This window comes from Homo sapiens, chromosome 5, assembly GCF_000001405.40.
Source record: "Homo sapiens chromosome 5, GRCh38.p14 Primary Assembly".
NCBI classification, from domain to species: Eukaryota; Metazoa; Chordata; class Mammalia; order Primates; family Hominidae; genus Homo; species Homo sapiens.
The window spans coordinates 14,441,746-14,466,449 of NC_000005.10; the positions used below are offsets into that span (position 1 = coordinate 14,441,746).

General features: G+C 45.0%; 1 protein-coding gene and 1 non-coding gene across 12 annotated transcripts in view, besides 7 other annotated features; both read left to right on the plus strand.

The window, feature by feature from the left end:
* Positions 1–24,704, plus strand: part of TRIO (trio Rho guanine nucleotide exchange factor) — a 366,863-nt gene that overhangs the window by 298,404 nt on the left and 43,755 nt on the right. For all 11 annotated transcript variants that reach the window (NR_134469.2, XM_047417679.1, NM_007118.4 and 8 more), the window contains 3 exons: positions 19,274–19,566; positions 21,010–21,180; positions 23,800–23,895. Coding sequence is in view for 10 of the 11 variants with exons in the window: in XM_047417679.1 (XP_047273635.1) it covers positions 19,274–19,566; positions 21,010–21,180; positions 23,800–23,895 (560 nt within the window). In the remaining variant the exon portion in view is untranslated. The remainder of the gene's footprint in view (positions 1–19,273; positions 19,567–21,009; positions 21,181–23,799; positions 23,896–24,704) is intronic.
* Positions 3,631–4,158: an enhancer, noted in NCBI's record as "H3K27ac-H3K4me1 hESC enhancer chr5:14445485-14446012 (GRCh37/hg19 assembly coordinates)". NCBI's record gives its function as "activates a minimal SCP1, AML or CMV promoter by ChIP-STARR-seq in naive H9 embryonic stem cells {active_cell/tissue: H9 hESC(naive)}" and the evidence as "EXISTENCE:reporter gene assay evidence [ECO:0000049][PMID:30033119]".
* Positions 4,159–4,685: an enhancer, noted in NCBI's record as "H3K27ac-H3K4me1 hESC enhancer chr5:14446013-14446539 (GRCh37/hg19 assembly coordinates)". NCBI's record gives its function as "activates a minimal SCP1, AML or CMV promoter by ChIP-STARR-seq in naive H9 embryonic stem cells {active_cell/tissue: H9 hESC(naive)}" and the evidence as "EXISTENCE:reporter gene assay evidence [ECO:0000049][PMID:30033119]".
* Positions 6,438–6,547: an enhancer, noted in NCBI's record as "active region_22401". NCBI's record gives its function as "activates an Ori minimal core promoter by ATAC-STARR-seq in GM12878 lymphoblastoid cells {active_cell/tissue: GM12878}" and the evidence as "EXISTENCE:reporter gene assay evidence [ECO:0000049][PMID:35858748]".
* Positions 6,698–6,747: an enhancer, noted in NCBI's record as "active region_22402". NCBI's record gives its function as "activates an Ori minimal core promoter by ATAC-STARR-seq in GM12878 lymphoblastoid cells {active_cell/tissue: GM12878}" and the evidence as "EXISTENCE:reporter gene assay evidence [ECO:0000049][PMID:35858748]".
* Positions 8,505–8,554: an enhancer, noted in NCBI's record as "active region_22403". NCBI's record gives its function as "activates an Ori minimal core promoter by ATAC-STARR-seq in GM12878 lymphoblastoid cells {active_cell/tissue: GM12878}" and the evidence as "EXISTENCE:reporter gene assay evidence [ECO:0000049][PMID:35858748]".
* Positions 21,915–22,209: a silencer, noted in NCBI's record as "tiled region #14564; HepG2 Repressive non-DNase unmatched - State 15:Elon". NCBI's record gives its function as "represses a minimal TATA promoter and a strong SV40 promoter by Sharpr-MPRA in HepG2 cells {active_cell/tissue: HepG2}" and the evidence as "EXISTENCE:reporter gene assay evidence [ECO:0000049][PMID:27701403]".
* SNORD170 (small nucleolar RNA, C/D box 170) lies at positions 22,238–22,322 on the plus strand. Its single transcript, NR_145815.1, has one exon. It is a non-coding gene; the product is annotated as a small nucleolar RNA, C/D box 170 (small nucleolar RNA).
* Positions 23,832–24,003: a silencer, noted in NCBI's record as "fragment chr5:14465686-14465857 (GRCh37/hg19 assembly coordinates)". NCBI's record gives its function as "represses an EF-1alpha promoter that drives an FKBP-Casp9 reporter gene in an ReSE screen in K562 erythroleukemia cells {active_cell/tissue: K562}" and the evidence as "EXISTENCE:reporter gene assay evidence [ECO:0000049][PMID:32094911]".

A 24,704-nucleotide genomic window follows, 5' to 3' on the forward strand; every position in this document is an offset into this window, starting at 1 on the left:
GGAGGTTTTCAGACTAGAGAAAACAACATGTCCTAACATATTTAGACTCTGGCTCTCCATGAGAACTACAGCCATATGATAAGATAATACAAAGTTAGCTGGGGAGAGGGATGCTTCCAACGTTGCCATTGTATTCAAGGGAGTGTCTGTGCCAGATTCTGGCTTTATCTGCGGAACTAGGGAAAAGACGTGAAGATGTGATTCCTGCAAAGGTTATTTGAGAGGTCGGTAAGCTTCACTTTGAGGAAAAGGCAACAGGATACAAAAGAGACAAGGTGAGGGGAGTTGGGTCTGCAGATGCCCATGGAATGCTGCCCTGTTCCAGAGGCCAGCTTTGTTTCAGTAACCTTTGACAGCTCTCTGTCCAGACCATACAGCCGAAAAAAGGAGTCTCTCACAGGGTGCCACCTGCATGCCAGCAGGAATGCTCTCTACCAGAATTTGGGTCTTGGCCTGGGTCACTTTCAGTGTTTGCCTTCACTTTCTTGTCAGCCGTTATCCGCGTATATGCTTCGGAAGTGGGCGGCAAGACGCAGAGAGCCAAGGGGATTTGCTGAGACTTAACGGGGCACTTCCAGTTCATTAAGAGCTCTATGGAGAAGGGTCTTTCGGGGTGCAGGGATCCCCCAAAGAAAGGGGGTAGGGTGTCGGATCAAAAGGGGGGCACAGAAAATATGTATTGGGCATCTGAAGGGGAAGTGGCGCTGCTTAACTCTACCCATTTGTTCATGGAATACTAGGAGGTAAGAGTTGGCTGCGTGAATGTTGCATGTGTGGTTCTCAACATCATTTTCAATAATACTCCTTGTATTTTTGTTCACAAAACCTTTAAAAAGTCTTTGACCCTGGGCTCTTTTTGTCATATTTATGCTAATTGTTTTACCACTCGAAGATGGTGACCTCCCTGTCTGCAGGTGTGCAAGCTGGGTAGGTCCCTCGGGGACCCTGTGCGCTAGGAATTCCTGCACTGGGTGGGTTAAAGTAGATGATGCATCTGCTCTCCTAATTTAATGTAGTAATTTCTGTGCAGTGCAAAGAACAACTGGTCACATGAAAAGTCTGATTTGATGCCTCAGCCGCTAGCTAGCTCTGAATCTTGAGTAAATTACCTTCTCTCTCTGAACTTCTCTTTCTTTGTCTGCAAAGTGGGAGTAACAATAGAGCACGCCCCTCAGGATATCATAAACATCCCCAAAGTTTAGAACAAAATATTTTAATGAACAATTTTTCTAAAGAGTAATGGATCTTAAGACATAGCATTCTTTCTGTAGAGGGAATTTTTGAATCTTAGTGGTATCTTAATTCCTTCAGAATTCTTCTCAAGGGACATTATTAAATTCGCTTTTTAAAGTACTAGAGGATAATTGTGCTGTTACATTTTTTGTTTCTCTCTATATATTTTTGTTGGTAATTCTTAAACTATTAAGAAGCTCTAGGTGGTGTTCTTCAAGCTGTCACCTCAGAATTTTTAAGCTAGGAAAAATTCGTAAGAAAAATTGATGACCCGTGTGGAATTTCCTGAACAAAAAATGATCACTTCACCATAAAGGATAGATAAGAAAAAGCGAAATTCGTGCATATGCGTGTGTGTGTAGAAAGTGCCTGCCCATCCTTTTCTAACGCTTATAGTAATTTCAAGACAATTTCCTGAATGCTGTTATATCAGAGTGATGTTTTAATATTCTGATTTTACCTATTAAATTGATTATGGGGAAATACATATGCATCACATTTTAAAAGGAAGAATGATTCTGGGTAATATCCAAGAAATAAATCCCAAAGTAACTTTACAGTGCCCATGAAATCACTGAGTGTGATTGCAAAGCCCGTCTTACACCTGCAAGCAGTCTGGGGCTTCATGTGTTAGAGTACTTTGGGAAAAGGCAGTTTTCCTGCTTCCTGAAGTTCATTGGGGCATCCCCCTGTCCAAATGTGAACCAGTCTTGCTTGGAGTAATCTGCACAGAAGCCTGTTTTATGTGCTGACATTGCCATTGTCAATAACTTACACAGACATGAGCCAGGAGAGTTTTACTGCTAAGCGATTGTTAAGAAAATAAGAGAAGGTAAGGTCAAGAAGAACTGTAAATCTTCTTTTATGACGTTTCCAATGGGAGAGCCTAGTTCTACGGATAAGAGAGTGGAACTATTGGGTTGGTTATCATTCTGAAATCAGTATTCCCTTTTATAGGACAGATGGAATCTATTCCAGTGCTATACGTATTCCCCTGACTCAAGCTCAGGAAAAACATAATCTGGTGACTCTCCTTAACACTGAACAGACTCTTACACAAAGTGAACTGTGTGCTTTATAATTCTTGAATTCTCTTGAAGTCTTTTTTTTTTTTTTCTTTCTGTTTGGGTTAGGAATATGGATTCTCACCACTGCAATTTTTGTTTTTATAAATTAAAGGGAAACATTCCAAAGACTAAATATAGGATAAAGAAATTTCTTTGCTGAAGAAATACATAATATGAACCTATTCTGAAAGTATCCAAGTGGATGAACAGTACTGCCTCAAATTAAAGCTGTCAGTACATGGAATATTCAGTTTCACATGAATAAACAAAAACCACAGAAGTACTTGTCACAATGTTGGATTGTTTCGACTGTGAAGACTGATTGTGTCACACAAGTTGCTGTGCAAACTAAATTCTATCTCAAATCGTTTTTTGCCCTTTAAGTATCTTTAAGTGAATGGTTTAAGACAGGATGTGCAGTATAGGATAGTGGGAATGGTGTGTTGCTGTAGAAGCCAGTTTGTCCCTGCTCACCCCTACCTGTGTGATCTTATAAGTTCTTGATAATCTCGCTGAGCTGCAGTTTCCTCATGTGTTTAAAACAAACAAACAAAAGAAGATAGAGAATGCTCGCTATTATGGTTATTATGCTCTCCAAAATCTACATTGAAGGTTCTATTTCATTTTAAGCAAACTGCATTTTAAAAATAATTTTGTTCCCTTGCTTCCATGTTAAACACGAAAAAAGAGTGTTACACATTGAATTTGTATATATTTTTAGCCAAGAAGCAAAGAAACTTGAAGTTATTTGGTATTATAGCCTTTTTTAGAGTGAATATAAAATCTTGAAATATTAGAATGTTTTTGAAGTTAATATTAAAATTAGACTGAAACCTCCCCCAAAAAGTGCCCAAGAAACCCACAGGTCCCAGGTTAGGAGCCTTCAGGCAAAGTGGCTTTTCCTAGTTTTGGAATTCTTTTCTTATTTCTAGACAAGGAGCAGGCACCCTCCTCGTTTAACTGTAATCTGTCTTTGGTATGTGCTCTTTCTAAGTATATCTCTTCACTAGATTTTGGGGGAACACAAATTTATAGTTTTTCATTCTGAAAAATTTCCTCCAGGTGCTCAAAGTTGGCCTCAGGGACACGTGAGCAAGTCCATAAACAGAGTGAGTCGGCCTGGGAGCTGGGTAACAAGCCATGGAATTCATCCATGGAGTCTTCCTCATTTCCTCTTCCTGTCTCCAAGGAGTGGCAGTGGGGGCTGGGCAGCCATAAAGATGCTCCTATTAATTTTTTGCAATTCTCATATAAAACCATACAAATATGAGCAAACCACATACCCCCCGCCAAATATCTAGTTTCTCTGAAACTATATGTGCTAAGTGGAAAACTCCCAGACAGAGCGAGCAGCAGAAGGGAACATAGCACCCTTAGGCAGCCACTAATCACGTTGGACACATCTTCTAGTCTGTTTATATGTAAAATGATGCTTCTTTTGTTGATACTTTTAATATTTGACTATAAGAAACCATCTCAATCATATCCATTGTCCAGTTTCTCAGATGCGCAGTTGAGAAACCTTGCTATTGCTACTTCTTGTTAAAATCAACAATTCCTTCTGTAGTGAAATGGACCTGTACCTATCAGCATGAGAAGACTAGAATTATTCTTCTGTCTAAGGATACAGCCTTTGAAAAACTTCTGAGACAAAATATATTAGCCCTAAGGCAACTTCCCCTTCCTCTTTTATCCTTGAAAGCTGATGGATTATGGTAAGAAGTGGCCCAAGGGCACAGAAGCAGGCGTGCAGTTGAGTAAGGAACTCTTCCATAATAAAAAGGGGATGTGCTTATTATGACATAGGAACTGAACATGGAATGTTTTTCCCTTTGTCTCTCTCCAGTTAAAAAGAAAGACAGCACAGTGCCCACCACAGGCACTCTGAGCCCCAGCCCCACGCAGGGGCGGTCTGCTTATTTCCCACTGTCGCCTCCGGTCTGTGGCCGTGCCTTTCATCACACCACGGGCACTGATTCAGCCAAGGACAAGATCCGTGCTGTTAATTGGTGTTCTTAGCAGAGGCGTTCCTTTCATTCCCTTTGTCTCCATCTCCGCGCTTGCTTTGTTCCTGCCTGGAATAACTCCAGCCCTCCCTCCCTCCCTCGCTCCCTTCCTCTATCCTCACTGTGATCACTCCGAGGCTTGACAGGCAGGGAAGAGTTCCTCACAGGAAGACTTAACAACAGGAAGGTGCGGGACATTCTTAGAAAGCCGCCTTCTCCCCAGGCACTGGCAGCACTGGAGAGACAGCGTTTGAACCCCATGTGGGATACATGGAGAACTCCAAAAGCAGTTGCTCCAGCCCTCTTTTCTTTTTGTCTTTGGCCTTTATTGTTGTGGTGGTTTTAGTATGTGATAACCCAAAAAAGTGGGAGACAGCTCTCAATAAATGACAAAATGGTGATTTGAAAAATAAAATGCAGTGCCATTCAGTGCATGTGGGTGGGCAGGGGGAAGAGAGGGGGACAAGATGTCATAAAATCAAATTAGTTCAGGTCTTGGTGTTGCATCCCGTAATGCTTTGTGTGCTTGGGAGTAGATGGTACCTGTGGGGTGCATGCACCTGGGGGCGCTTTACCTCCTCCAGTCTGTGCGACATGTCTTCATCCTGTTTCCAAGTGCTTATTAGCTTTAGTTGAGCAGCATTTTCCTTTTGATGGGGGAGTTACTCAAATATAATTGTAAAAGGAATTCCTAATTGGTTACAGCTTTTGTTTCTTTGTTTTTGAATTAACCAGGGACTGTATAATATAATGTACTAGATATTTGCTTTGTGGTTTATTGGGGGGAAATAATCTTCTGGTTCCTCATTCTACATAGCTGTAGCTCTTTCTAAGCTAATATTCCATCCCTTGAAACTCTGAAACTTTAGCTAACCTTTGCTGTAGACAGTGTAAAGTGGCTGGGCGTGGTGGCTCACACCTGTAATCCCAATACTTTGGGAGGCCGAGGTGGGCAGATCACTTGAGGCCAGGAGTTCAAGACCAGGCTGGCCAACATGGTGAAAACCTGTCTCTACTAAAATACAAAAATATTAGTCGGGTGTGGTGGCGGGCACCTATAATTCCAGCTGCTCGGGAGGCTAAGGCAGGAGAATCACTTGAACCCAGGAGGCGGAGGTCACAGTGAGCCAAGATCAAGCCACTGCACTCCAGCCTGGGTGACACAGCGAGACTGTCCCATAAATAAATAAATAAAGAGAAATAGTAGTTGGCAGGCTGATTGCAGAATACTCCAAAGCCACGTTTTTTCCCCTTAATGCTGTTATTAAAATTAGTATGTTGTCATGTGGCTCTGTGAAAACATGTATAAGTTAGCATGGTTTATAGTAAATTTTCTTGAATGTAGGTAAAAGATGTTTCCATGCTAGCATTCTGAATCTGGTATAAATTTTTTAAAATAATAATAAATGTATACATGAATGAAGAGAAATCATTCACCTCCTGAAATAAATCAGTCATATAGTTTAAACCACTAATTGCACAATTTTTAAAACCGTTTTGCCTGGGAGAGTCTTTTTGTGCCACCTGCTTCATTTAAAGACATGTTTCAACTTTTTAAAAAATCTGCGTATAGCCCCCTGCCCCCAACGTCTTTGGTATCCTCTTTAACAAAGCAGCCAAAGTGATTTCATTTTTTTTCAACAAATCATAGGAAGACATTAGCCAAAAATAAATATTCATTATGAAGAATACACTTCCATATGCCTTCTTCATGTAAGATTAGATCTTTCATTTCTAACACTCTGTGTTTAATGTCAAGAACTATTATGCCCATGGGTTCAACATTCATGTTTCTTAACTGGGTGAGCACCTCTGGAAGGCAGACTCAGATGGACAGAAGGGTGTGTGAGCACCGTGGGACTGCTTATTTCCCCCAGAATTAACTTTCTGTTTCCTTACATGATGGTTGTCTATTCAGGACAATAATAAGTACTTTATTGCCTTGGGAATAACTTCCCATATAGAGAAATTAAGAATCAAGAACCCATTATTTTATAACAGGGAGAACTTCGGTATCCCTCAGTCAGCAGTACACAAAATAATAGTCTCATACGCATGCTGAATTTGTTTTGTTTTGTTTTGTTTTTAATAATCTTTCTTTGTATGAGTAATACGAATCTTGGGTAATTTTGTGAAAAGAACAGCCATTTGACTTTTTGGGAACACAGAGGATCAGAAACATCTGAAAAAGCCACACAACTAGAGGAGCATTCAGAAGTTCTTGCTTTCTGAGCATTTAAACAGACCAGAGCCCAGAGTGCCGCAGCAGGCTGTCGCTCCTTGCCTGCCTGGGGCGGGGGCTGGGGGAATATGGGGTCACATGCTGCATCCTCGCCCTCAGCCTCCATCAGAGCGTGGGTTGTCTCACAGCAGGCCTAGACGTGGCCTTATGCCTGTTGTTCTGTCATGCAGGAGAGGTGCAGGGAACCGGATCTCCCCTGACCTCTGCTGTCAGACTGAAAAGAGGACCCTGGAACAGTGCCACATTGGGGCTCGATGCGGGCAGTGGGGCCACTCCCTGGCTGGAGAACTTTCCCCACGAGGGCTGATGCGACATCACCTTTCCAAGGTCCACTACCCCCAGCCAGTACTAAAGAGCCATGTGGACTGCGCGTTAGGAGCGGGGCAGAAAGCTGCTGGGCATGGATGTCTTCAGCTGGCAGGATGTGTGTGTGTCTTTCTGGTTTCATTTATATGGAATTTTTTTTTTTTAAGTGTCTCTCTTTCACCCAGCAAGGCTATCTGCTTTTGTTCTTGTGTAAAAGTCAGGAATGAGTCCAAGTCCCCTCCCAGTAATCACTGGTAAGATAGTTCCTTGGGGATTTTTTCCTTTTGTTATAGCTTAGACTTTTGGTTACAGAAAAAGCATACTGTTCATCTTCCCAAAAAATATATTTTAGGGGCTGGCTTACTTAAAAAGCAGTGAAAATGGCCCTATCATTTCAAGACAGCAATATGGCCTAGACATTCTCCTCTAGTCAAGTCAGTATTTGTCCAGAGTAGAGAAAGATCACATTAAAAAGTAAGCCTCGGCCTACAGAGTTGGGTTAAAAAAGACTTTTTTACAACCTAGTGATTTTTTATGACATCGTGGTTTTTAACAATGTGTGGCCATCTGCCAGGCGAGCCATCAATCTGAGTCTGCCTGGTTCACCCCATCTCACCTCTGGAAGGAAATGGGAGATGAGGCAGGCAGAACAGACTGCTTCCACGGCCGGTGGGATGAAAGACGCCCTCTCGGCCCCATCTCTGCTGGGAGGCAGTGTAGTGGGAAGCAGAGAAAGTCCCATGGAGGCGGCTTCCGTTAGCACTGGCATGTTCTGTTTGGTGACATCGACGCGGCCAGCCTCCTATCTCTAGGGCTTCTCACTCTGGGTGGTGATGAGGCCATTTTCTTTCAAGACGTGACTCACTAAGACTAGCCCAACAACCACCACTTGATTCCTATGTTGGCCTCTTGTTGCTCGGCTGCTGGTCACAAGGCAGAACAGCTATAGGCTCATCTTTTCCTGGAAGCCAACAGCCTAGTGATCAACTGTCCACCAGCTGCAGACCACGTGTTTCTAAAGCATTCCTGAGCCTCAGGCCAGCCAGGTCCTGTTCCGTTCAGGACATGTATAACTCCAGTCTCTAGCCTTGTTTTAATTCCTTACGTTGATCCACACTAGCCCATTTTTACTGTTATCCACGATCAGTAATTGGACTCTTTCTTCATTTATTTTATTTCTGAGGTGTTTTACACTTTCACTTTGGCAATATGTGAGATCCTGTGCATCTGATTAACCAAGCAAAGGATCTTACCATCTGTTTTCATTTACATTTAATTTCTTCACGTTTCTTTATTGGAAATTTCAGTGGTGAAAATAAAAAGAAAGACCTTTAAAATGAAATGGTTTCCTGACCAGAAATGCTGATAGATTAGCATTCCCCTTCCAAGAATCAGCTTGAGAGGAAAAATGATGCTCAAAGTCTTGCATTTGTCTACATAGCTACATTTTCCAATGCTTATGTAATGTTTTCAGTGTTTTCAGAAACGACGCTGAGAATAAGAGTGTAAGAGCCAGTGTGTACATGTGACTTCCGTTGGCTTGTTCTGTTTGGTGAGATCGACGCGGCCGGCCTCATATCTCTAGGACTCCTCACTCTTGAGTGGTGATGAGGCCATTCTCTTTTCATGACATGACTCATGAAGACTAGCCCAAAATGGGGAGACTGCAGTGTGTTCTCATTTTCATAATTCACAAAGAAGAGCAGTTGTTTTTCACTGGGTTGGTTTTAATTGATGCCAGTGATTACATTGTGTTCTGGCATTCAGGGTCACCTGGAGGTGTCTGCTGGTGAAAGCTCCCCACTGAATTTGTGGGAGGGGCTGCGCAGGGAACGGTGGAAGTGTTGGCCCTTCTCAGGCGGCAAAGACCATGTGTTCTTCATTACAGCATGAGCCGTGGCAGTGCTGTGTTGGGCCTCTGGTTGAATCTTGGGATTATTTAAGAAAAAAAAAACCTGGGGAATTTAACTTTCTCCTTCATGTTTTCTGTGTTCAATTCATATTTGAAAGCAAAGACAGAGTTCATATTTTTGCATTTAGGACCCACTGTGCAATATGTAAAATTTGCTTTTAATAGTCTTTTGCCACATTTTCAGTCATTACCATTCTCCAGACTCACGCTCAGTGCTTCTCTGGCTGTTGTAAAGATTTCCCATGCTGACATGACAGCATAACAAACAGTTGCAGCCCAGAATAAAGCCCTGGAACCCAGGTATGTGCAGAGAAGGAGAGAACCCCTGGGGACGCAGTGTCCATTCTAAATCTGGTGTTTCAACCCCTGATGAATCTTTCTTTTCCAGAGGAACAAATTAAGACTCACTAGTACTCACAGACAGATGATACACCAAACATATGTAAGAGCAAGGTAACTGGAATGAACACATAGAAGTCAGCCAAGAAACCTCTCCAGATACTTGCTCACAAATAGAATATAGATTTAAGTTTGGAGAAATGTTTTAAAAATACTTGTATATTCCGAACCACCAAAAGGGTAACTGTATTACTGGGCAAGTCAGTTGCTTAAGATTTCCCAAGTAATACCCCAGCTTTGTCTCATCATCATCATTTTAATTCAATATGCATTGCCCAGGGGATGATTATAATCACTGTGTAAGATGCAGAGAAGATGCAGTCCCTGGAAGTTGCATCCAGAGGATTAACTTACAGATTAACTCAGTTTTTATGTGATCTGTAAGAGAATTTCTAGTGCACTGTGGTCTTTTCTTTATTCAAAAAAAAAAAGGCCACCTTGATTCCAAAAGCATGGAATTCAAATCCAGTTTGAAAGTGTAGAGATGACAATCATTTACTCAGAAATTTTGCTCTAGAACATTTGAACCAACACCGTCAACAGTCATAAGCTAAGAATTTGATTATTCTTTTTAAGTAATTTATAGATCTGATTTTCACATTTGCCTTACAGCCTCCCTTGTATGGTGGAAGAACTTCCTGAATAAAAATGTGATTTATTGCATCAAATTCTTGACAAGACAGAAGTTTGAGAAATTGCTATAGGCCAGTTATACCTGATTACACCGGGACTGCCCTCTTTTCAAATAGTCTGATGGAGTTATTTTCAGACATTAGAAGCAGTTGCTGCAAAGTGCCTTTGAATTAGCTTTCATCAGCACATAGCAATAACTGCTAAGTGAACATTTCTTTAAATCCTTACAACTAGAATTTTAAACTAGCCCTTTGCTTCAAGAACTTGCCTCTGAGTTGTGCTGTATCCTGGTTAGAGTTTTTATCAAGACATCATTTCATTGTTCATTTGACAGATATTTTTGAACACCTACAATGGACAGTAAGATGGGAATATCTGTCTTTAACATAAGCTAGCTAAAATCCTTTGGGGGAGACAGCGTGGAGAATTTGCAATGCAAGACAGATGTTCACCGGAACTCTCCTGCTGTTGAGCAGGGCATCCGTGGGTGGCCCTGTCTCATCGGAAACGCCCTGGCTGTCAATCGGCAGCAGACCCACATGTGTGCATGTTTGGCTGACGTTATGTGGCATGAGGGCTGCCAGTCACAGCAGAGGCTTGGTGACCTTGTGGGGTTTGTGACCCTGGCTGTCCAAGGAGGCCCGGCCTTCACAGCCCCAGCTCTTCTTCCCACTCTGGGCCTGGGGCGCTTGTCCTTAGATTCGTCGTCTCGCCGCTCTGCTTCATCCTGCTTTCTTCCTCAGCCTTCTGCAGCTTTTTCCTACACATCAGTGTGAGTATTCCCTCATACTGTGTTAGGCTATAAGTTTCCAAAGACTTTTTTCATACCTTTTCCCCCCAGCAGCCTGGTAAAGGCTAGAGGAATCACTGTCATTTTACACATCAAGAAACTGAAGCAAAAAGGGGGTCATTGACTCATAAGAACCCACACCCAGCAGGTGGCAGGGGTGTTAGTGGAACCCCGGCCCGGTGGCCTTGAGTGTCCACTCATCTGTAAAGACCACACCAGGCAAATACCTATTGAACACATGCATGTGCCAGGCAGACTTTAAACTCCAGATATACAGCACACACAAGGCAGCAAAAGCCACTTCTCCTGGTGCTTCCATGCTGGTGAGACTGAGAAATGGAAGACATGCAGAGATTTGGGTGAAACCTTTTCAAATTCAGAGGCTGAAGTTTTTAGTTTGGCTTACTACTCTGCTCAGCAATGCAGTTGTTACTCTAGAACACTCAGAAGTCTTTAAGACTTTTTTACCATTGTGAAAATAAAGAGAGGGTTAAAGTGAAACATGATCCTCCTTGGTCTGCGACCAGCAGGATATGGTCCTTTCCCTCCTTTTTTTAAAAAAAACTTTTTTTTTAAGGTTTTTATTAATCACAGATGTCCCAAATTTACAGACTGGGCCTAGAAAACAGCCTCTCTTGTCCTGGCAGTCCCCGTGTTTTGTGTGTTCACATGGTGAAACTCTCTCCTGCGTGGGGCTGAATGTCAGCACTTCTGCTTTCTCTTCTTTCTTTACCTTTTTTTTCTTTTTTTATTTAAAAAGAAATCTAGCATGGACTTTTTTTGAACTCTTATTTCAGCAAGGAAGCCATCTATGTAAGGATTTTTCCCTCCTCAAAATAAGAAGGAATGAATTTGAATTGACTTTCTCTTGGTGCTTCAAGCAGATCACAGATGGCTTTCTCATGCGCACAGCTGAACATCTTTTTAAGTGACTGCGATGTGCTGATAGTATCTTGTGCTCAAGTTTACTTTGTTCTATTTTAAAAATAGAAATAGAATTGAAGTAATTCATCTAGATTGCTTCATTCATCCTTCATATTAAAAGTGATTTTTAGTACATCCTAGACGCCATGTTAGGCCTGCAGTTACAAATCTAATTGTGATGAAACCTAATTCTCATTTTCTGGGTACTCACAGTTGATGTAAATACAATGTAGTGAGTTCTGTGCTATCATGGAGTCCTTTATGCCTCAGCCATCCTACATTTATAAACACTTAACAGTTTATGAAGTTTGTTTGTTCCCATTATTTCATTTAATCCTATTACAACCCTGTGAGATGTGGAAACTCACATGCCAGAATGTTTGCTGTGTAGTGGGAGTGCCAGGTTCACTCAGGCCCTTTGACAAGTCCAGCATTCTTTCTGACATCCCTTATGGATCATCCATCTGGGCCTTGGATCAGCGGGTTTCCCCAGGCTGGAAAGGGGGAAGCACATTCCCAAACCAGGCTTAGTGGGAACTGAAGGCATTCTTGCTGATGAGAAAGTTAGCGATGGGGTGAAAAAGCAGGACTGAGAGTTAGTTGACTTTTTTTTCTTCCAAGGTGATAGGAGTTGAGGGAAAGGCAAGAGATGAGTAACTATTTCTTTGCATAATAGATGCATCTTTTTTTTTTTGAGACAGGGTCTCACTCACCCAGACTGGAGTGCGGTGGCACAATTCTGGCTCACTGCAACCTCTGCCTCCTGGGTTCAAGCGACTCTCCTGCCTCAGCTTCCCGAGTAGCTGGGACTACAGGCATGCGACACGATGCCAACTAATTTTTGTAATTTTAGTAGAAACAGGGTTTCATCATGTTGGCCAGGCTGGTCTCGAACTCCTGACCTCAAGTGATCCACCTGCATCAGCCTCCCAAAGTGCTGGGATTACAGGCGTGAGCCACCGTGCCCTGCCCAGATTGATCTTTCATGGTATTTCTCAGGTCAGTTCTGTCCTGAGCCCCCACCCCGACACTGCTTTACATGACAGGCAGTGTTCACGTACACTTAGTCTGGACTCTGCCTTCTGAGACAGCAAAGCAGTAACACAAGTGAGAGATGAGTCGCTAGAAGGGTTGCCTTATTTGCTTTGAATTATCATCTTTGAATAAATAATTCACAAACTCATGAACTTGACTAAAATTAGATGTTACTTGTGTTCACTTCAAAACTGATCAGGATATACCAGTAACTCAGGACATCACCATTCATAGTGGTTGACTTATCAGTCAGTATGCATAGGCTGAGAAATAATAGCTTGCAGCTGGTTTGTTGGCTCACCTGTTTGTCATTTATTCAGTGTATACTCATTAAGCTCCAGGTGTATGCCACGCTGCCTGCTGGCAGCTGGGTATGTAGTTAGAAACAACCAGACATGGTGCCCTGGAGTCTAAGGTCATGGTTGGCTTCCTGCCTTCACAGTTGCCCAGCTAGGAAAATGTTGTGTCCGAAATTGTTGGGTTCTTGGTCTCACTGACTTCAAGAATGAAGCCGTGGATCTTCGTGGTGTTACAGTTTTTAAAGATGGTGTGTCCGGAGGTTGTTCCTTCTGATGTTCAGACGTGTTTGGAGTTTCTTCCTTTTGGTGGGTTCGTGGGCTCACTGGCTTCAGGAGTGAAGCTGCAGACCTTCGCGGTGAGTGTTACAGCGCTTAAGGTGGCACGTCTGGAGTTGTTTGTATCTCTTGTCCAGAGTTGTTCATTCGTCCCGGTGGGTTCGTGGTCTCGCTGGCCTCAGGAGTGAAGCTGCAGACCTTCGCGGTGAGTGTTATAGCTCATAAAGGCAGTGCGGACCCAAAGAGTGAGTAGCAGCAAGATTTATTGCAAAGATAAAGCTTCCACAGTGTGGAAGGGGACCCAAATGGGTTGCCGCTGCTGGCTTGGGCAGCCTGCTTTTATTCCCTTATCTGACCCCACCCACATCCTGCTGATTGGTCCATTTTGCAGAGAGCCGATTCGCCGATTTTACAGAGAGCTGATTGGTCCATTTTGACAGGGTGCTGATTGGTGCGTTTACAATCCCTGAGCTAGACACAGAGTGCTGATTGGTGTATTTACAATCCTCTAGCTAGACGTAAAAGTTCTCCAAGTCCCCACTAGATTAACTAGACACAGAGCAGCGATTGGTGCATTTACAAACCTTAAGCTAGACACAGGGTGCTGATTGGTGCATTTACAAACCTTGAGCTAGACACAGAGTGGATTGGTGTATTTACAATCCTTTAGCTAGACATAAAAGTTCTCCAAGGCCCCACTAGATTAGCTAGACACAGAGTGCTGATTGGTGCATTTACAAACCTTGAGCTAGACACAGAGTGCTGATTGGTGTATTTACAATCCTTTAACTAAACATAAATGTTCTCCAACTCCCCACCAGATTAGCTAGATACAGAGTGCTGATTGGTGCATCCATGAACCCTGAGCTAGACACAGAGTGCTGATTGGTACATTTACAATCCTCCAGCTAGACATAAAAGTTCTCCAAGTCCCCACCCGACTCAGGAGCCCAGCTGGCTTTGCCTAGTGGATCCTGCACCAGGGCCACAGGCGGAGCTGCCCGCCAGTCCCGCACTGCACACCTGCACTCCTCAGCCCTTGGGCAGTCGATGGGACCGGGCGCTGCGGAGGCTCAGGCTGCGTGGGAGCCCACCGCAGTGGGGCTTGGGCATGGTGGGCTGCAGGTCCCAAGCCCTGCCCCGCGGGGAGGTGGCTGAGGCCTGGCGAGAATTCAAGCGCGGTGCGGGCGGGCTGGCTGGCAGTGCTGGGGGACCCGGCACACCCTCTGCAGCTGCTGGCCCAGGTGCTAAGCCCCTCGCTGCCTGGGGCCAGTGGCGCTGGCTGGCCACTCGGAGTGCAGGGCCCGCTGAGCACACGCCCACCTGGAACTCTTGCAGGCGCTAGCCTGCGAGCACCGCACACAGCCCCAGTTCCCGCCTGCACCTCTCCCACCACACCTCTGTGCAAGCAGAGGGAGCCCTCCAGCCTCAGCCAGCTCAGAGAGGGGCTCCCACAGTGCAGCGGTGGGCTGAAGGGCTCCTCAAGCGTGGCCAGAGCAGAAGTGGAGGTGGTGCTGAGAACGAGTGAGGGCCGCCAGCATGTTGTCACCTCTCAATGTGATCATGAGCCGATTACACAGGGCTCTGACCACAGGGCTCGCCTTCAGAGGGCTGCTCTTGTTATGGGTTTGAGCCATCCACAATCAAATCCTGAGCAAAAAAGTAAGGACACAGTGCCAAAAGGACAGGAGCATGCCTGCACAGTGTGGGTGTCTGGGCAGGGGGTCTCATGCTCCTGTGTTCACAGCCATCAGGACCTCTTCTGGGGAAAGGCAACTGTGTGCACAAAAGTAATTTAAGATCTTCCCATGGAGACTTCAGAATTCTAGAGCTCTGTGTTTATGGTGTGATATATCCTTATCCTGTGCCCAGTAACTCTGGAGACCTTAATTCTACTCAAGATACCATTAGGACATGGGATTTAATTTAAAATTCGCATCAAAGTAGCTGATTTAGTGGGCAAAGTCTATATTTTTCAGATAGCTAAAAATAATAGATATGTTATTTCATTCTGTTAATGATGGTATTAAGTTTAAAGACTTTTAAAGCTTTTTAAACTCCTAATGTGTACATTGTATCACAACCCAGCAAAGAGCATAGACATGGGCTGTTACATTCCATTGATTTAGGCCAAAGGAATTTCTACTGTGAAAAGAAAAAAAGTTTTTTCCCCACCAGAGAGAGTCAAATAGCATGAAGAATTGAGCATTCTTGTTAAAGAGAAGGGGTCATTATTGTCCCTCTACATTTGCAGACTTCTGAAACAAAATTTTTCTCAAGGTAAAATTTTTTAAATTCCACAAAATTTTTCTTATAGTTTATGACCACTGCTAACATTTTTCTAAGTCATAAATATTCCGGCAAAATGAAAGAATGTCACTTCCGTCATTCAATAAGTAGGAACTCAGGGCAAGAACTGCTGCTTCTCATCAATGGCAGTTGTCACCCAGTCCTTTGCATTTAATCTGTGGCACCGATGAGCTCCCACCTTGGGCAGCCCTGACCTCCCCCCCCCCCCCCGCCCCGCCCCCCGGTACTAGGAGTGACCATTTAGGCCATAGCCACATTTTTAATGCTTAACCTGCCAGGTAAGCAGGAAATCTCTTTCGAACCAGCTTCCCAAAGTGCAAAGAACCAAATCCCTTGCAGCTGAGCCCACAGAGAGAAGCTGGGGAATGACGTATTTAATTTCCTTTTCTTCTTGAACCATTTTTACAACAACTAGCTCCTTTCCCAGGCAAGGCTAAGTGTCCTGGGAATCATCCTTGTAACGCCAGCTGGGTGCCACAAAGCATTATTAATTGACTGTGGTTCCTTCTCTCATGCGTGCAGAGGCCGCTGGATCTGCTGAACAGTAGGGAGGTCTGTGTGCTTCAGGGCTGCCCTGCGTCCCTGCCTGCCCTGCATGCCCTTTTCCGAGAGCACGCCTGCTTCTCTGTAGCCCTGCAAGTCTGGGTGGACAGAGGGACCAGGTCAGAATACTTGGTAGGTGTCACTTAGGCTTCATACCACTCCTATGCCAACTCCCCCCAAGTTCTAACTTACAGGCCCAAAAATGTCTGTGAGGTTGATTTATTGGCTGAGGTCCTACTAGTTGTGATGTGTAAGTGTTCTGCTTATGAATGTTAAGACCTGTACTTGATTTCATTTTACTAAAATAAGTGGGCCTGGGTCTTTTTTTTTTTTTTTTCCTCCATCAGTTTATCCAAGGCACAGCAGAGCTCCGTGGTGACACCTCACCACATCTCAGGCATCCGGGCTGTCTCCCGACCTCCCCACGGGCCACACTCATAGTTCCTTGTCTTGTGCAGTTGTGAATCTATGTCAAACAAAAGACTGTCCTTAAAATATGAGCTGTGGGTCAGCTTGCTGTTTCTTTAGACTGTTGATTTCTGATGTTTCCATGTAATACTTGTGTGCCTACTGTATGCCAGGCACTGTGCAGAGCCCTGGAAGTACCTCAGGTCCCAGACAGATGAGGCCCCTGCCTTCCTGGAGCTTTTATCCATTCTCCTGACCCAGTGCCTAGGTTACCTGTGCCCACCTCCCTCAAAGGCCAGCTTCAGTGCCATCTCCTTCAGGGACCCTTCCATGGTTCCTCCTCCTGTTGCCCCTTCTCAACCCTAACAGGGTTTGTACCTCGCCTATAGTACAGGATAATTTTGTGATCCAAATACCACTGTGTGCTGAGTCACATGGATGAAGAAACTAGGTGTTCATTATCTCTGTCCAGTGGGAAATCGGGGGCTTGGCTCCAAGTCACAGCACAGTAAGTGACTCTGAAATCTGCCACCTGCTCCACCTGCTGTGAGCAGTGCAGGGTTCTGCTAGCAGTTGGTACTTTAAAAAATATTCGTTGAATAAATTGTCATCTGACATATAGATTATCCAAACCTGCCCCTTCTCTTTGTCCTTCCTGAGGCTAGGAACTGTGTCTACCTCATTTGCATTTTATCTTAAATCAGCACCTGAGAAAGTCCCTGGGAATGGATTTCATTCTTTTCCTACCTCCTTCCAGACCACACCGAAGGAAAGTGAGACTGATAGGGAAATGTTTTAGTAACTCTTGTTTAAAAATAGAGTAAATATATGAGAAAATATATATACATATAAGTACACAAACATAATATAGACACACATACAGAGGGGAAAGGGTTATCATTCTTTAACAGATATCAATGGGTTCTGAACCAGAGTTTGCCTCTGAGAAAAATCTGGATTTTGAAGAATGAATGATCCTGCCTAAAACGCATCATCTGTTTCTGGAATCTTCACTAATCTGTGTCTTGGGCGAAGGAAGGAACGGGACAGCAGTGAGACGGGCGTGTGCTGTCTAGTCCCAGCGTCGGAAGCACTTGGTGGGAAACCGCTGCCAACTCTGCTCCTGTAATCACAGGGTTCACCTGCAGCAGGGAATGGCGTCCAGAGCCAGAGAGGCAGTGCAGCCCCTACAGGTATCTGTGCAAAGGAGTAGCTCACAAGATTACTTGACTTGAGAAGATAGCAAGCACAGTGAATGATCACCATTGTCACCGTTCTGCTTTCTAAAGTTGGTCACTTCATTCCATGCCACCGTGGTGGAGCCCCTGAGCCAAGAGCTCAGGAAGGGGCCCAGCAGCTTTCACGCTCACTGGTGTGCGAGTTGTACAGTAGACGTCACACAAGTCCATGGATTGGCTGAGTGTCTGCTGTCACCCAAATTTCAGATTTTTGAATACAAAAATTAGCTGGGTATGGTGGCAGTCGTCTGTAGTTCCAGCTACTTGGGAGGCTGAGACGGGAGACTCTTGAACCCGGGAGGCAGAGATTGCAGTGAGCTGAGATTGTGCCACAGCACTCCAGCCTGGGTGACAGAGCAAGACTCCATCTGAAAAACAAAACAAAGAAAAATTGGATTTTTTTTCTTTTTTCTCTTGAAATGTCATCCACTCCAGATTGACTATATTTAATTTTTGAGATCCAATGAGAAGCTGGTTTGGATATATTTTCTGTAGAGCATTTTGGTTATTTGAGGAAGGCTTCCCCTCCTCACATTTCTTTTCTTTTTTTTCTTTTTTCTTTTTTTGGGGATGCAGTTTCGCTCTGTCGTTCCGGCTGGAGTGCGATGGCGTGATCTTGGCCCACCGCAAGCTCCGCCTCCTGGGTTCACACCATTCTCCTGCCTCAGCCTCCTGAGTAGCTGGGACTACAGGCGCCCACCACCACACCCGGCTAATTTTTTTGTATTTTTAGTAGAGATGGGGTTTCACCATGTTAGCCAGGATAGTCTCGATCTCCTGACCTCGTGATCCACCTGCCTCGGCCTCCCAAAGTGCTGGGATTACAGGCGTGAGCCACCGCGCCCGGCCCCTCACATTTCTTTTTAAAATGTGGTGGCGTTTTTGTTCATTGTTGCTGATATTTACTTCAGCACATGTGGTAAGTTTCTCAAGACTGTGAGCAAAGTCCCGGTGTGCCGCCGTGGCCTGGCCGTGAACAGGAAAGAGGCTGAGGGCCGCTCCTCCGAGAGCCCCACCAGCTCTGCCACTTTCCAGTCGCCGGCTTTGTCCTGGATGCTGGTCTCCCAGAGGCTGCTGCTGGTCAGAGTCTCACCAGGACAAATCACTGTCATTTTATCCGTAATAATTACACAATTCTGCTTTTGTTCACTGGTAGAGAATCAAACTAATGCACTTCTGCGACAGGATTAGCTTACAGTAAGCATGTCAGTTGGCATAGCTAAAACTTCTCAAAATTTCCTTTAAATTCATTCTTCTTTCTTGGTTTTTGTCAAGAAAATGGGTGAAAATGATTTTAAAATTCTGTCCTCCAATGTCCGCAGTACCAATGTCCACAGTATTTTATGTGATGAATGACATCTTAAATCTGGCTGATAACGATGCTGGTCTTCAGGATTGGTGACATGGGTGATTTTGGAGAGGACAGTGCATCTTGAGAATGATCATCTCTAGCAGAACTCAGGTTTGCTACACATTTGAGAAGAGAGTGCGTGTAAAGCATCAGCCCCTGTCATCTCACACCCCGTAGGCAAAGCCCGCTGACGAGGCATCCAGGCCCACTGGCTTCCCTGCAGCCTGCGGGATAATGGCATGGTCTTCACACCGGAGGGTCTGTGCGAGTCAGTGATACTCCCTCTCTTTCTCCCTGGCAGACTCGCTCTCCGTCTCCAGCAATGACGCCAGTCCACCCGCATCCGTGGCTTCCCTCCAGCCCCACATGATCGGGGCCCAGAGCTCGCCGGGCCCCAAGCGGCCGGGCAACACCCTGCGCAAGTGGCTCACCAGCCCCGTGCGGCGGCTCAGCAGCGGCAAGGCCGACGGGCACGTGAAGAAGCTGGCGCACAAGCACAAGAAGAGCCGCGAGGTCCGCAAGAGCGCCGACGCCGGCTCGCAGAAGGACTCCGACGACAGTGCGGCCACCCCGCAGGACGAGACGGTCGAGGAGGTGAGGCTCTGCCCGCTGGTTGGGGCCGGCGTGGCGGGGCCCGCTGGGCTTTTGCTGCAAGAATAGTTGCTGATCTTATGAGTAAACTGGTTTGGTTCTGTTTTCCGCACTTACTCAGAAATTACCATTCAAGTCTCTGCTTAGCAGACTGAGATTTAGTGGGGACACTTGAAAGAAAATTGAACCCAGTAAGCACATTCAGGACCACGTGTGGCTTCTGATTAAAAACAAACAAACAAACAAAACAGATCACCATGCGCCCCAGGCCCAGTCAGCCCCCAGGCCTGGGCCAGGAGGGAGACCAGACTTGGCTTCTGGACCCTCTCCTCCCCACTCCACCATGAAGCAAAGCCAGAGGCTCTGTGTAGTCTGCAGAAGATTTGGGCAGTCTCTGAGCTGATCATTGTGGCAGCATTTTGCAGAGAAAGCTCAAATTGGAAATTTGGAAGGACTTGTGGAGTGTTTGCACTTTCCAATTGTTTTTCCCCAATATTTATTATACTTACAGCTTGTCTTGAGTAGAAAATAACCAGTTAATTTACTTTGTTGACCCAGTAGTAAACATTGGGTTATTCCCATGTCACCAAAGGTAAGTGCATGTAGGTCAGCCAGAGATTTTTTATGTCCTATTGACAAGGGAGGCTTTAAATTACATTGCAAGAAACAGAATTCCTTCAGGATGCTGGAGATGGCCTTCAGCACTGGTGGTGTCAATGAGGGGTCCTCAGAGTTTTTAATTAACTTGGATCGACCCCCGACTCAAGTCTCACACAGGTTCGAAAAAGAAAAGGCAGAGAGTGGGGATGAGATTTGTGTTATTTGATTTATTTGGCAGATAGCTGTTTTCTGCTGTTTTTTTCCTGGGCATATTTTTGCCATGAGATTTTGTTGCAGTGTGGGGGTTGGGATGTATTATGTACATTCTTGATAAACCTCTGTCCTCTTAGGAAAACTAAAACTGAAATTTGTTTCTAAAAGTGAGAATAGAGGAAAAGAATACTCAAATCCAGTGCTTAAAATGCATCTTGGATTATATTTTTTATGCCCTTATTATTTCAGTGAACTTTTCTATAGCAAGATACCCAAAGTGAAATCAGCTGGACCAAAGGAACTAAATCAACATGAGGGTTGTAGCTCAAATTTTTGAGCCTTTTTAAAAATTGGCTTCTCAAAGATGAGCTGTGTTCAGAGCCTAACAGATCACATTGGCAGTCCCTTTATATGACACATGACACATTCAGTGGCCATTCTGTCATCCAAGTTGACAAGCAAAGCTATTGGGTAGCAGGAAGAGAGGAAAAGTTACCATCGAGGTCGAGAATAGCTTTGTTCCTGATTTCTGCCATCCCAGTCTCTGTCCCCACCTTGCTTCTCCAAGTAACCCTTGGTCCACGTCTGTGAACTGGCCTGGAATATAATGAGCAAATCTTGACTGGATTTCAGAGAGGCCGGAACGAGGGCCTGAGCAGCGGTACTCTCTCCAAATCCTCCTCCTCGGGGATGCAGAGCTGTGGAGAAGAGGAAGGCGAGGAGGGGGCCGACGCCGTGCCCCTGCCGCCACCCATGGCCATCCAGCAGCACAGCCTCCTCCAGCCAGACTCACAGGATGACAAGGTAAAGGGGGATGAGGGCTGGGGAATCCATGCCTGCCGTGCAGGGGCAGGGCACGCTCGGTAGCTGCTTCACACCAGCCTCATTTCAGGAGACAGGAGGCCCCAAGATGTGGAAAAGGGCAATGCAGTGCTCTTTCAGGCAGCGTCAGCCTGGTTGTACCCCAAAAGTATGAGTAACAAAGCCATTTAGAATAGCAGTAGGCCAGCGGGTGCAGTTTTTCTTACACATGTGGCTCAATGCATTTTTAATGATGCTTCAGTAATTGCCACTTCTAAAGTAATTTTAAAGTTTCCTAATGTATTGACTAGAATCCCTGAGAGAACAATCAGAGATATCCCATGCAGGTCTGTCTGAAGGCATCACTAAATGAAGAGTTGGCCATCTCCCCTCTGTGAGGTTTTTGCATGCAGGTTTCTGGTTTGAGATGAGGTTACATCACTGTCCAGTTACTTTTTCCAACATGCCAGACATTAGTTTGTAGGATCCCTACGCTAGAGTGCAGGCATAGTTGTCAAAGTGTAGGAATCAGTTGAAAGCTCTTTGGGTCTACGCAGGAGCTTCAAGCCATGAAAGTCATTTGTTTTCTTGAGTTCTTACGTAGTCTAAAATTATTTTGTCAGCCCAATTGTAGAGCCCTAAAAAATAAAATAGCAGAAAGGAAACCTGCTCAGTGTGGCTTGCACATCCTCTAGCATTCTGGCCCTATTGTGCCCCTCAAAATCATGCTATGAAGTCATTACTGGTGATGCTTTTTTTTTTTTTTTGGCAGTAACTAAATTTTCTGAGTAAAACAGATAACTTTATCAACATCTTCCCCCATGCTTCCCTTTTTCCTTCCCTGACTTCCTTGTCAGTACTTGCACAGTCACTTGCCAGATTAATCACCCTCTATTTTACGACATGGGATTGGCCTCAGCCGGTGCTTAGCAGCTGTGAGGCCAAGTCAAATCATGCACTCCTCTTAACCCAAGGCAGACCTGTCCACCACCCCTTGTTGGTGGAAAGCTACTCCCTCCTCCCTTTTTAACACGAGACCAGCACACTGTAAGGGTGCTGTGGGGCCTGCAATGATGGCTGTGAGCTGCAGGACTGAGCACAGGTTGGAGTCCTGGAGTTTTGTGTGCATCTGAGGTTCAGGCTCCCCACCATGTGTAGGGGAGAAGGAACAGGGAGCCTGAGGTGAGAGGACCACAGCCCCCTACCCCACCCAGTACACAGGCTACCTGGCTAGGACATGGGGCTGTGTGATTTCTGTGATATTTCCTAAGCTATTTTGTAATACGCTAAGCCATGCCTTTTTGAAAAGCAGAAAACTGGCATTTCTTAAATCTGGGTGGTTGTCCAAACATTGAGGGGCTGGGCCTTGTTGACTTACTCACCCATAAGGGAGGATTTTTCTCCATTTAAAGAGTGACCTGCACTGTATCCTTCTGTTTGCTAGTTACTATGTTACCTCGTTGAGTATTATCAGTAGCAGTTCTTCATTTACAAAAATCTGTAGTGATTTTCCCACACAGTATATAATCTCGTGACTAATTTTTTGTTTTGTTCTGTTTTCTCTTTTTGTAAACTTTCACTGCAGCATTATGTTGATTTGTGTTCTGTGTCTGTTTTGGCTCAATTTCCTTACCTTTCCGTTTGAATTTTTTTCTTTGTTTTCTTCACCCCATATTCCAAATGTCATTAGACCAAACCAACATTTGTTTTGCAAAGTGCATATTTTGACCCACACGTGTAAAAGCCTTGTTGTGAGTGTATGAGCCTGTATCTGTCTGCTGTGAGACACGCATGGCCAGGACAGCCCGCTGTGGGTCGCATGCCTCGCCGCTGTCCTTAATATGAAGCAAGGTTCATATTACGCCCCTTCTAGTTCCCAGTTAATTAACGGCTCAAGTAATCTGCAAACACGTCGTGTTTGCTAATTACTGAAACTCGAACTTAGTAGCCCCTCCCCCAGATTTCCTGTCAACCCCTTTACGCCCTCGATTCTAGCCATAAGTGGCATCTGATAGCTTGTGAGGCCTCAGCTCTTCTGTACTCTGCACTAATCATGGGGAAATGGATGGCACAGAAAATGGTGAGCTTGTCCCCCTCCTTCCCTGTCTGGTCACCGCACCCCGTTCCTTTCCTCTTCCTCGTTTCTTTTTTTTCTTAATCCCATAAACACAGTAAAGCCATTTCTTAGTACCTGTTTTGTTTCCTGATTATTCCAGGATTCTCTCACTAGACCCTAAGCCTCTCATTCTGCTGTAGGTCAGATTCTCTATTCCTTCTCCCTAGCCCAGAGCCTTGCCAGCACTTGCGAAAGTTACGGTTAGAACGTTCCCTTGCCTAGTCACCTCTTTGAAAAAAACACTGTGATGTTACATGACTGCGATTCAAATCAGACACTGTCTGCTTCCCACATGTATCTCAGACAGGTTTTATTTAATGTTTCTTGTCAGAATATTGTAAATTCAAAAGGATGACTTTAAATAAATGTAAACAAAGACAAACTTGTGGTCTTTTTGTCTGGAATTACTTTCACAAGAGATGGAGCTTGCAGGGGAATTTACTGTCTGACCAGTTACTAATGTGAGCCCTTGCCCCACCCCCTCCTTTTCTTAATTTCTTCTGTAGGCCTCTTCTCGGTTATTAGTCCGCCCCACCAGCTCCGAAACACCGAGTGCAGCCGAGCTCGTCAGTGCAATTGAGGAACTCGTGAAAAGCAAGATGGTGAGGCCTCCCAGAGAAAGTCTGACTTTTGGAAGCTGCTCTGTGTTGCTACTTGCAGATGGATTTGCCCTTGTCTTTGTATTGCTCTGGGCTGCAGAATGTGGCTGTGGCTTATGGCACATCTCAGGAGTCCCCATGACCACCCTCGGGTTCACTGATTTGAAGGACTCAGAGAACTCAGGAAAGCCATTATTCCCACATTTGCAGTGTATTCCCATGAAAGGACACAGATCAAAATAGGCAAGGGAAGAACTGCATAGGGCAGGTCTCAGGGAGTGCCTGGTTCAAGCTGCCAGCCATGCTCTCCCAGTGGAGTCAGGCAGACAGAGGATTGCCAACCACAGCAGCTCACCCGAGCCTTGGTGTTGAGTGTCTGTTTGGGCTCAGACGCATATGGCTGACTGCTCTGTGTGGCTGACCTTAGGTAGTCTCCTGCCCCTCCAGAGATCAAGACACTGTCACATTGCTAGCATAGACTATTTGCCTTGGTCCCAGGCCCCCAGGTAAACAGACATTCTCATCAAGCAGAACATTCCAAGGACTTACAAGTTCCCTCCTAGAAGCTGGGGGCAAACCTCACTGCACATACCCTGCCTGCAGTCACTGCAAATGTGGTCAGCTCCAGTCTGTCTGAAGATGTGCCAGGGTCAGTGGTACCCACAGTTAGACTCTCCGTTTTGTTTTGCAACCCCTGAGATCTTTCATTTGGGTTCACAATGTGTGAGAGAGAAGGGTTTACATTATTATATAAGGGCTTCATTTTCTTAGTGATCTCTTTGTTGCCAGTTGGCCAACGTGGGTTCATTTGA